The following is a 12,682-nucleotide window of genomic DNA, read 5'->3' as shown; positions in this document are numbered from 1 at the left end:
GAATTTGGGGACTCAAAATTCTCACATTTGCTGATTCAACTCTTACAATCCCAGGTCTCATGGTGCTACTTTTTAGAAGATACCCTGACTTTGGCGTTGGAAACCTCCTGAGATTATGGAGGTATCTGCTTTGTAGCTCAGTCGCTTTTAAAATTAGTTCCTGTGCCTGATTTTCATCACAGTTGTGCCCTACGAGTGCTTTTTTAAAGTTGTCACAGAATCATTCTAGTTTGCAGATTATTCCTTGAGTTTAAATGAACTCTCCTGTGTCTTTAATTTTTTTAAAGTAGGTCTCTGGTGCTATGAAAAGCAGTCACACCAGTGTACAACCTTTATAAAAAATTTTGTTCTCATACCAAATAAGGACTACAACTTCTTCGTCTTCCAATGTCTTACTCTTAAACTGTACTACCCCAATTTTCTACAAGTAAAAACTTGAATAATTTCAAGGCACAATATCTTACTATCAGCAATGGGTTCTTACTTTTTTTAGACAAGAAGGCAATATAGTTTTAAAATCTTGTTTTCTAGACTAATTTCTAGATTTAGCTAAATCTCTATAAAACAGAGGCTGAGACAAGTGATAATACTTTATTTAATTTTTATGGTTTATACTCAATCAAATGTATTTACTTTTTATTTTTATATATTTATTGGTTATAAGTGCAGATTTCTTAATGCACATATTGCATAGTGGTAAAGTCTGGGCTTTTGGTGTATCCATTAACCAAATGGGGAACATTGTATCCAATAGATAATTTTTCAACTTTCACCCTCAACCATCTTCCCACCTCCACGCTCTCCAAAGTCTATTATTCCACTCTGCATGACCATGTGTACCTATTGTCTAGCTCCTACTCATAAATGAGAACATGTAGTATTTCACTTTCTGTCTCTGAGTTATTTCACTTAAGATAATGACTTCCATTTCCATCCACGTCACTGCAAAATACATGATTTCATTATTTTTTATGGCTACGTAGTATGCCATGGTATGTATATATGCAGACATATATGCACACACATATATACATATATATAATATACATATGTATATGCATATATATATATATAAAAAAAACCTTTTCTTTTTCCAGTTCTCCACTACGTATATATATAATCTTTTCTTTACCCAATCCTCCACTAATGGACACAGATTGAATTCATATCTTTGCTATTGTTTATAGGTGCTTTGATAAACATGAGCACAGATATCCTTTAGATATAATGATTTATTTCCCTTTGAGTACATACTAAGTAGTCAGATTGTTGGATAAATAGTAGTTCTATTTTTCATTATTTGAGAGATCTCCATACCGTTTTCCATAGAGTTTGTACTAATTTACAGTCCCACCAACAGTGTATAAGGGTTTCCTTTTCTCCCTAATCTCACCAACATCTGTTTTTTTTTTTTTTTTTTTTTTTTTTTTTTTTTTTTTACTTTTTAATAGCCATTTTGACTGCTATAGGAGGGTATCTCATTGTGGTTTTAATTTGTATTTCTCTAATAATTAGTGATGTTGAGCATTTTTTCATATATTTGTTGGTTGCTTGTATGTCTTCTTTTGAAAAATGTCTGCCATGTTCTTTGCCTACTTTTTAATGAGGTTATTTTGTTGTTGTTGTTGTTGAGTTGTTTGAGTTTTTTTTACATTCTGGATATTAGCCCTTCGTCACACACATGATTTGTGAATACTTATCCCCATTCTGTAGGTTGTCAATTTACTCAGTTGATGACTTCTTTTGCTGTGCAGAAGCTTTCATTTAATGAAGTCCCATTTGTCTACTTTTGGTTTCGCTGGGTTTGCTTTGGAGGACTTGTTCATAAATACCTTCCCTAGGCCAGTGTCCACAATAGTTTTCCCTAGATTTTCTTCTAGGATTTTTGTAGCTTCCAGGTCTTACATTTAGGTCTTTAATCTATCTTGGTTAGTTTTTGTATATGGTAAGGGGTATGGATCCAGTTTTATTCTTCTGCATGAGGCAGTTCAATTTTTCCATCACCACTTATTGAATTGAGTGTCCTTTTCCCAATGTATATTTTTGTTGATTTTTTCAAAAATTGGTTGTTGGTATGTCCCCTTATTTCTGGGTTCTCTATTCTGTTCCATTTATATATGTGACAATTTTTATAGCAGTACCATGGTGTTTTGGTTACTATAGCCTTGTAGTAAAATTTGAAGTCAGGTAATGTGATGCCTCAAGCATTTTTCTTTTTTCTTTGAAGAGATGATACTTTATTTTAAAAAAGCAAGCCTACAGATATGATAATGGGGAATAAAGGATGAAATAAATAAAAAAAATATGCTGAAGCAATGTAATGTATTAGATCAACCAGCCACCCTTTCTCAACATGGTAGGGAAACACACAGCAGCTTATAGTCAGATGAGTTTCCTTGGCCTTTGGGACTTCTTTCAAAGATTAATAAAGAAAATCTTCACCTCAGAGAAATCCACAAAAAAAAAATTAGAAGAAAGCTGACTAGCTCCCTTTTATCTTTCATTTGTCATTGCTCTTGGTTTGCCCTATTGCACTAGATGAACTCCTACAATCAATACAACTACAGCATCATCTTTGTAAATATATCTAACCTGGAAAGTGACCAAATGTTGAGAAGTCATATACATCAATAAGAAAGCATAATATAAAATAGACAGATATAGCAACTAACTTTTACCTGAAGTATTGTAGATGATTTATAATCTAGGGAAAAGACTGGGGAAGAAAGAAACAATGTCACCAGAAATCCATAGAGAACTCTTGGGAGTTTTCATTTGATTATCATGAAAATATGTTTAGCTATCCATGATTATTTTTAAAATCAAAAAAGAAAAATCATAGGCCAGGCGCAGTGGCCCACACCTGTAATCCCAGCACTTTGGGAGGCTGAGGCGGGCAGATCACGAGGTCAGGAGATCAAGACCATCCTGGCTAACACAGTGAAACCCTGTCTCTACTAAAAATACAAAAAATTAGCCGGACGTGGTGGTGGGCTCCTGTAGTCCCAGCTACTCAGGAGGCTGAGGCAGGAGAATGGCATGAACCTGGGAGGCAGAGCTTGCAGTGAGGTGAGATCATGCCACTGCACTCCTGGGTGACAGAGCAAGACTCCATCTCAAAAAATAAAAAAGAAAGAAAAATCATAGGATATTTTACAGAATTGTAAAAACAAATGAGTGGCAATGACATGAAATTCAATTTACAAAAATTTTAAAATATCATTTACTTAAATAGTTTTTAAATTTTGTTTATTCTTTTAAAGCAAAGCAGGCACTTGATATAAGGCTGAGGCAAAGGGACAATGTTGGGGGTACCCACTCTTGAGTGGCCTTTGGGCCCATAAGAAGATTGTTATATTTTTACCTAAAACATGGCCAAAAACTCATATAGTTCTATCGTGGATATGTACATCTATGCTATTACTACAATATTATACAAAAGCCAATGTGTAGTATATTCTGTAACAGCATGAACTGTGTGTTTCAGTCATCAATGGATATACTATATCAAACTTGGTAAGCTTTCAATTGCTATTTATTAAATGACACAATTAGTCAATTGATCAATTCAAAAAACCCTGAGATACTTTTCAATATCTTAGGAATTAAGAAAATCTAATTTTTCTTGGTTCACCCCTCTTGAAGTCTTAATTGTACATCCAGTACAAATTATGTTTATTTATTAAATGATGTTTTAATAGGCCTTCCCAATCTTTCTCATAGCTCTTCTTCACTGTAAGAAATATAAACATTGAAAATTGTATAAATCCATGGCTAAAGAATGAGACTTCTAAATGTCGTGAGTTTAAGACATGGGTTGGGCATAGCTGAATTGTATTCAGAGTGTCTTTGAAGGGTCTATAATATTGTATCATGTCACTATTCATAGGTTTCCAAGGGAGATTTGTTTTCCTTATAAGTAAAGGGACAAATACCAGATTGCTTTATTTTTTTGCTTATTTAACAAATCAATCACACTGGATTCATATTCTACCTAGCATGGGCCAAATTTCCCTATAAACAGCATTTTTTTCTTGCCACCATCCTATATAATATGTTTTAATTCGTGGTTAATAGCCGTAGAAAAGTAAACCTGTGCTTTGAAAGCCATCAAGGCTCTCAGTCCAGAGCATAAATCGGAATGATTCTGTACATCATGGGACAGAATTGAAAATGAACAGATAACTGGCATGGGCTCAAAATAATGAAAGCATACTAAGAATTCTTTATCCAGATTCAACATGTTCAATATAAGTCGACTTTGCTACACCAACCAAATGAGTAGATTTTTAGAGTTGATTGCTGGAAGAATGAGTGTCAGGGAAGTCCTTAGAGAACTCCATGGGATGAAAAATGGCTCTCTGGCCAATAAAAACAATAAAGATGTAAAGAGAAACAACATATTAGCCATCAACAAAAGAAATTAAGTGCTTCTCATCCTTGGTGACATCAGACAAGAAGCCCATAATATTTGTGCTTCAGGTGGGAAGTAATGCTAAGCAGATAACAGTTAGTGGGGTTGATGGCTTCTTGGTAAGCAAGGTATGACAGGATCACAGCTTGGGTAATCTCAGTGGAACCAGGCCTGATTAAGTGGGAAGATGGTAGTTAAAATGGGACACAGGTGAATTTTCTTGTTGCATTACCCAAAGCTAAATGCACGCAGTGAAGTCTTGGGAAAGCTGGGAGTCTGAACCCAGATGTCTCTCGAGTCTTCCATGCCTGCTCAGGAAAAGGACTAAAACATCAATTGTTTGAATTAGTTGACTAGCTCTTAATGATTGAAGTTGTCCAGCAATTATCAGAGCCTAAATCACATCCATATAGTTCTCATTTAATCTAGAGTTGTAAAGTATGATCTCCTGACTAAACTTCTTAACATAGCTGTAAAGTAAGAGCATTTGCCCTATGATAGCCAGTCTTGGAAGCAAATACTGCTCCTTCACACATTCCATGAAGGTAAGGACCTGGGGATATCAAAGAAGATTGCCCAGACTAAACTCCTGTTTTTAGTGTAGACAGACAGGAATATTTTAGTAGCATTCCTTTCTCCCACACATTTCCTCCAATTGAATTATTTGACACTGGATTTTTCCCTATTATTACAGAAGTGATCAATATTCTTTCTCCCATGGAATGAGTAGCTTTCAGGGGCCCTCAGGCTGCTGGTCTCTTAGTCTATGTCTCTGAGAGCTAGTATGATGTAACTACAAGGACCACAGGGCAGGAGACAAGGACACAAAGAGTACTAATCTCAGCTCTGCTAATAGCTCATGGTGTGACCTGGAACCAACCACTTTCCTTTTGTAGGTCACAGTTTTCTAATTTGTCAAAGAAAGAGGTTTAATGAAGAATTTGTAAGCTCAACTTACGGCTTAAAGGTCCTTTAATACAAGAGTAATTTGGAGTCTAGATTTCCCTGGTACTTTCAGGCACTTCATTTACTTCAACAAAAATTAGACTTTCTGGTTATTAAGTATGGGTAATGCCATGGGTGGGAAAAAATTGTTAACTGTTGAAATTTGTGAACTCTTCCAAACTGAATCCGGGTACCTTTGAGAAACGCTGAAAGAACTCATTTGCGTATCGAATCTGATATTGGCCTGAGTGACTGGAAACTTGTCTCTCAGGTGGACAAATCACTTCATTCTCATAAATGGGTTAGTCCCTGTGGCACCTCTTTGGGAATAGCCTTTCTACTTAAGAATATTTTAAGAAGGAAATGGGAGCTATTCCATGCCCTGTGTCTTTCACCCTCTGCCTCCCAGGTCCCATGGACCTTTAGCAAGTGCCTAATCTGAGAGAAAATCAGGGAGTTACTAAGGCATTTTGCCAACAAGAATACATTTTGATTTAGTAATTAGTGCTTCTCAATCTTTTATTGTGCTCACTATGGCTGGTTGAATGTGAATGTTTCATGTATAGTTACCCAGTGGCTTTTCTTCTTCTTTTTATTCATAGACTCTAATATATAAAACATAGAAAGATGTGAAAGGGTCCCTCAGGCAGTTTAACTCTTCATATATTGGTTTAAAATGTTTAAAATTTGGCAAATGGCCAGCTTCTAGAGCCCTTTAGAATAATGCTTGAAGGAGAGAGCTTATGGGATATCATATGCTACAGACTCTCAGCTCATGTCAACAATAGAGTATGTTTTCAATAAATGTTTTCTCTTGCTGTTATTATTATTATTTTCAGGAGAAGTATCAATGCCAGAATTGGCATTCTGCTTTACGCAACTGTTTTCCCCAGACCACATTCTTACTGAGTTCTGAAGGTTGAACTTCACACATATGTGTTGGATGCCATTTGTTTCTCCTCCATAGTCACTCTCCACCCTTTTGAACTATGTAGTCCAGAAGCCTGACCTGCACAAACTGTTAGTGGGCTAGCCTGTCCTCTAACTTCCAGTTCAATTTGGCCAAAAAGGACCACCAGCAGGAAGTTAGAGAGCGAGAGCAAGAGCAAGGTGAGGCTGAGTGTTTATTGCTCTTCTGTCTACTGGTAGGATTGAGGGTTGGTTAGTTGCTATCAACCAAAGGTCTAATCCTCCATCGGGTAGTTATGTTACACAACTATCCCTGTCTCCAGTTTTAGTGTGGCATGACTTTCATGCCAGGACTCTGCCAACACACGTTGTCTCTAGACTATTAACTCCATAAGAACAGTACTCTCTGTTCTGTGTTCTTTGTTGCTGAATCCTCAGCACTTAAGACAAGGCCTGGCATATATTAGGCATTTAAGAAATATTTGTTGAGGCCAGGTGTGGTGGCTTACACCTGTAATCCCAACACTTTGAGGGCCAAGACAGGCGGATCACTTGAGTTCAGGAGTACAAGACTATCTTGGGCAACATAGCAACTCAACTCCCAAAAAATAAAAAATTGGCTGGGTGTGTTGGCACATGGCTATAGTTCTAGCTACTCAGGAAGCTAAGAAAGGAAAATCTCTTGAACCCAGGAGGCTGAGGCTGCAGTAAGCCATGACAGCACCCCTCCAGTGCAGCCTGGGCAACAGGGCAAGACTTTGTCTCCAAAAAAAAAAAATAATTATTGAGTGAACAACAACTGTTTTCTAAATATGGTTTGCCACAGGTTTTATGGGTCCAAGTGCTTTCAAAATTTTAGAGGTTTTCTTTAAAAAAAGGAATATACAAATATCTTACTGTTGCAATGCTTAAAAATATATGGCCTTATTTCTAAGGCTCCTCCCTAGACCTAAAATTGGTCCCATGCAAATAAAGGGTCCTAAAACTACAATTCTCTATCTTCAAACTCCTTTTTGAAATCTTCACTCAAAGTTGCAAGGACTCTCTCCATTGCCTTCACAGAATTATAATCCAAAAAGCATAGGATTGGAAGTCAGATACACACAGGTGGGAATTATACTCCTTTACTTATTAGCCATGAACTTGGATAGGGAACTTAACCTTCAAGAGCCTTGGTCTACTTCCTCTATAATACAGGAATAAAAAAGTCTTCCCTCAGGGCACTGCTGTGAGGATTACTTGAGGTAATTATAGAAAGGGTCCAGTCTTTAATAGGTGCTTGAGATTGTTCAGTCTTACCATGGTGAAGGCAAGAAGCCTCCCTTCCAGATTTCCCCAGGCCTGCTTCCTATGATTTCCATGGTGAGCCCGCTAAAAACCAGCCTAAGAAGCTGCTACTTTAGGATGAGGCCAGGGCCCTGTTCACATCAAGTCCTGGAGCCAGTATTTGCACAATGGAAAGTCCAGCATTTAGCAGTTTGCCTGCTGCCAAACACCCAGCCCTGTTTGCCCGGGATTCCTTTATGTCATCAGCCATAACTCAGCCCGATCTCTGAGGCACCATTTAGATGCTTCAGGCAAATTTTTTTATTGCTTTCTCAGAGGAAAAAGTCTCCCCATATTTCATTTTCTAAGTGATCCTCAAAGACATGCCAGTGGCGTTCTACATAAACATTTTATTATAGAGTTGAGTAAGCCATATTTTAGAGCCTGGAATTTTTTTTTTAATTCTATGTGCTGTTATTAATGTTTCCTCTTCCAGTTACTCAAATACGAATTACACCCAAATCCTTGCTTAAACAATGCAAACTTCATGAAGATAGGAATATTTGCCTTATTCATCATTGTGCTCTCAGAATAGAGCATTGTACCTGACATGTAACAGACAATAAATATTGCTGAAATAATAAATGAATGATTGAGTACAGCATGCAAAATGTAACATCAGAGAATGATCTGGAGGATATGGGTTTAAGATAAAATAAGAAATCAAATACAGGAAATGTTTTACACCATGTAACTACAAGGGTTAAATATTTGTGAGGCAGTGAGTTCTTTATGGCTGAAGGTACTAAAGTAGAAACTGGTGAACATCTGTCAGGAATTCTATAAAGAAACTTCCCGCGTCAAATCAAAGGTTGGAGTTGGTTACCTTTCATTTTAATTTCAACTCTGAGAATAAATTCATAAATTCATACTGCCTGCTAAGTAGTGGTTTGTAGCAGTTTGGGTACCTAATTGACCTTGGAGCTGAATCCAGTTCCACTATACCAGATTTGGTACCTTTACCACATTAGCTTCAGTTTCTGCATCTATAGAGGGAACATAATACTGACTTTACAGGATTATTGTAGATTAAATGAGATAATAAATATAAGAGCCCCCCAGCACCACTCTAAGTATTTATGAACTGTTCGACAAGTATTAAATTTCTTCTCTATCTCCACACCTCAAAATCATGCTCTTATCAATAAAGCTAGAATACTTTAGAAATTTTCAAAAATGTAATGCAAGAAAGAGGCTGGAACTGCAGTTTGGAAGACCTGGTCTCTTAGTCCGTCACTGGCCCTAACCACCTTCGTGATTTTCAGCAAGCCACATGCCATCATCAGCCTCTTATTCTTCAGCTATAACATTAAGGCCCTAGATTAAATACTTACTTAGATCCCCCTCAAGCCCTGAGGTTACGGTATTTCTTCAGAAAGCTCAATTCACCTACGTTTTAGCACTCCTTAAATACTAAGAGTAATATTAGATAGGAAAACCTGCATGTCTCTATCGGGTTTTCTGACCACAATAGGCAGGAGCCCAGGATGCGGCTGATTCTGACGTGATCTCATGAGAATATTATTATGTGGTTTGGTCTTTGTGAAATGCAATAAGCCATGTGTAATTCATTAGCCATAATCAACCTGTCTTGCAAGGTAGCCTCTCTGAGGCAGATCTCTTTCACAATAACTTCATTTTTTTTCCTAGAAAGAGACTGAAGAATTAATACATTGCAACTATTAGGATTATCGTTCAATTTTTCGAAAGAGAATATTCTTACTATAGGCCTGGTATCTCTCCTGCTGCTGCACAATGGGGTTTCCCACCTCCTTCTCTGAGCCCTCCCTCAAAAACCCGGAAAACTCATTCTCTGCTAAACATATACTTCCTTAACCATTGTGGGGAACAGGTCATTATAGCCTGTTTAGAAACCCTACAGTGCATTGTTGTGTCTTTCTAAAATCTGATTAGTTCTTTGAATAAAGAGCCTGATACCTTATCATTATATTCTTCTCCCCCGGGAATAATTTTCAATACTAATAATATAAATAAGAAAGCATAACATTAAAGCAGGGTGAGCTATTCAGTGGAGATGAAGAGCCAGGGTCAAGAAAAGACTCTTTTGCCTCCAACTGGGAAATTAAACTGGCCTCTCGGTTTTGGTTATGAAGGGAAGAAAAAGATATCACTCAACTGTGAAGGCAAAAGATTTGATTGATAGAGCTGTTATCCTTGGTTAGCTTTATAAGGACTTTGCTTGGATGGGTTGATCTCAAGAAAAAAAATGATTTTGAAAATATGACTCTGCCTCCATGTATGTCCATATTTAAGCTACTGCTTCCCTCCCTCCACCCCCATAGCACTTTCCCATAGCACTTTCATCATTAATGAGTAGTATTCGGGTTCCAGATTATTTCAGGCCTCAATCTGTGGGCACACTGACAGATCCTGGTTGTATTAAGCTTTAAAATGTTCTTACCCAGAGGTTTCAATGAGAAATACATTTTTCTGCCACTGCATTCTCTCCCAGGGTCTGCTACACTGACACTTCTTAGGGACCCTATACAGACCTAAATGACCTCCAGCTCAAAGTATCCCTTTGGATACCACTGGACCGTCAGTCCAGAAGGCACAGGAATACTGTGGGCCAAAAGAAAAGACAGAGAGAGGACTACCATCAGGACACCATCCTTCCAAAAAGGTTTTTGGAAAACAACCTCAATCTAGAAATCAGTGTGCTTGAGTATCAGAAGCAACAAGTACTGACTGAGTACCCACTGTAATCTGGAGGTGTTTCACATTATTTCAAAACCAAATCAGTATATCAAGACCATCATTAGTATGACTATTTTATAAAGAAGAGAGTGGATCTTAGAAAGGTTACATGACTTTCCTAAGGTCACAAAAGTGTTTCAGAGTTGAAATTTGAATTTATATCAGCCGATACAGGTTTCTGTTCTTTTTACCATATTATAGTGTTTCCCAAATAAGATTAAAATCCTGGATCTGCTACTCAGTAGCTGTGTGGCTTTGGTGAAGTCACCTACTGTCTCTGAGACTTTTCTATAAAATGATGAGGATGGAGCTGAGGACTGCTCTAGTCCATGATGCACCAAAGAGGAAGAGCTCCCTGCCAATCTGGCATGAAAATAATTGTTACTAATCATAACTAATTGTTACTAAAAGAATTGTCAGAACTAAAGAAAAGTATTCAAATTACTCTTTAACAAAGATCAAAATCACTAATCATTAAGTGAAAAGTACCTTGCACCCAGGAAGATCCAAATTTTCCAATGACCATGGCTGCCCATAGCTTTCAGGATAAAGCTCAGACTTCTTACTTTAACCGACAAGGCCCTTCATTCCTTACTTTCTTTCTGTCCTCTGCCTTCCTTTTTCCTTAATCCACAGGAGTGTGTCTCCGCAGCACTGCCCCCTACCCAAGCCAGTAATTGCAATATTCCAGTACACATGCCACTCCCCTGCCTAGAAAACTGTCTCGCTTCATTCATTCAGTTAACTCAAATGTAAATTTAAAAGTCAGCTCCACGGTGTCCTCTTCTGGGAAGCCTACCTTGACTCCAGCTTAATTTAGATGCCTCTCCTTTGTGTCCTCCCACACGCCATGGAGACCTTGCTGACAGCAGCACTTCGTGATGGCTGATTGACTTGTTTTGCTTCTTTACCAAATTCAGAGCTCCCTAAGGACAGGGCTATGTTAAATTTAACTCGTATCTTCAGCATCTATCACAGTAACTGAAGCATAAAGAAAGACATTGATAAATGATTCTGAATGAGTAAATGATTAAGACAAGAACAATCAGGAAATGATTTTTTAAAAAAAGGAAACAATTTTTATTCCTGAGAAGCCCAACTTTTTCAGCCACAGTAGTTTTCCCTACCTGTACAATTCTATGTATTGCTCCCTGCTGTTCCCTTCTCCCATCTTATAACAAAAAGAATATTATCTGAATCCTTTCCGTGATTATCTCTGATATGTTAAAGTTATGCTCTCAACTTTCACAAATACTATTAAAAATTACTCTAAAAACTCACTATTGCTTCTTATCAATTCCCACACTAGGAATTTCTTGTAGAGTTTATCCCTAAGAAAGCTTAATTTCCCATAGTAAATTAGTATTCTTTCTCTTACTTGACAATGTAAGCTATGTAATTGAGTGTAACTTCATTTTCACTTTAGCTTCTAGGAAATTCAGAGTCAAATTTCTCATCTAACCATAGCAACTATATAAACCTCCTGATTCGCATGGTTTATATTTTTACTTTATTTTCTGGTCTAATTTAATGCAGCCAATATTTTTTGAGATCTTATTTTGTGCATAGACTGTTCTGGAGGCTTGGTATAAATCAATTAAACCAAACAGGAATAAAATTCTATCCTCATGGAACATACCCAGTTTGGAGGTATAATTTTTATGTACTTTATATAAATCAATTCCAGAATTAATGCAGTATATATGATCTAAAGTTGATGCTTTTATCTATTAAATACCTGATTCCTTCTTCCTAAGTGCATTTATTTTAAGTATATCTCTCAACTAAATTTTATAAATGCTGACTTTCACAGATGTGAAATTTGTAAGAAAAACATAAAATGCTGTTGGAATTAGAATCAACTTATTTCTGACTTTCTTAAATAATGGTAATAGAAAGTTGGTAGGCAGCTTCAGTAATCCCTAATCAGCATTTTATAACACATTAGCAGTTGGTGTCTGGAGTCTGACATTTGCTGTGAATGAGTGCCTGGCAGCTTTTGTTGTAAGTTTAGGATGCTTTTGCTTAGTAATGTGTTCCTTGTTGTCTAGAAGGAGGGAATTTTACTCTCCAAGGCACCCTACGCTGTGAATGTCAGTCTCCCAACCCATCCCAGGGCTCACCTTCCACACCTAATACTATTCTGGGGGTTTCCTGGTTATGGGTCAGAAATGACTAGTGCTGTGATTATGAGCGCTTCTCCTGAGATGCACTTGTCAGTCTTCAAAAAGATCCAAATAGCTTTTTATTTACTCAGGACCTCATAGAGACAGCAAAAGCTTAAGTTGAGAGTTGAACCTGCTTCATGGACTGAGAATATCCAGTTTGTGATATAGTTCACAGAAACATAACATATATATCAATTATATG

General features: G+C 37.2%; 1 long non-coding RNA gene across 1 annotated transcript in view; it reads right to left on the bottom strand.

Moving 5' to 3' along the window:
- Positions 1-11,260, bottom strand: part of LINC02778 (long intergenic non-protein coding RNA 2778) — a 144,047-nt gene extending 132,787 nt beyond the window's left edge. Inside the window, exon 1 of the long non-coding RNA XR_947430.2 lies at positions 11,112-11,260. This is a non-coding gene — a long non-coding RNA (long intergenic non-protein coding RNA 2778). The remainder of the gene's footprint in view (positions 1-11,111) is intronic.
- Between the last annotated feature and the right edge of the window lie 1,422 nt (positions 11,261-12,682).

The sequence above is a fragment of the Homo sapiens genome, chromosome 1 (genome assembly GCF_000001405.40).
Source record: "Homo sapiens chromosome 1, GRCh38.p14 Primary Assembly".
Taxonomy (NCBI): domain Eukaryota; kingdom Metazoa; phylum Chordata; class Mammalia; order Primates; family Hominidae; genus Homo; species Homo sapiens.
Note: the sequence above shows the minus strand (reverse complement) of the source record. Positions and strands in the feature narration are given on the sequence as shown.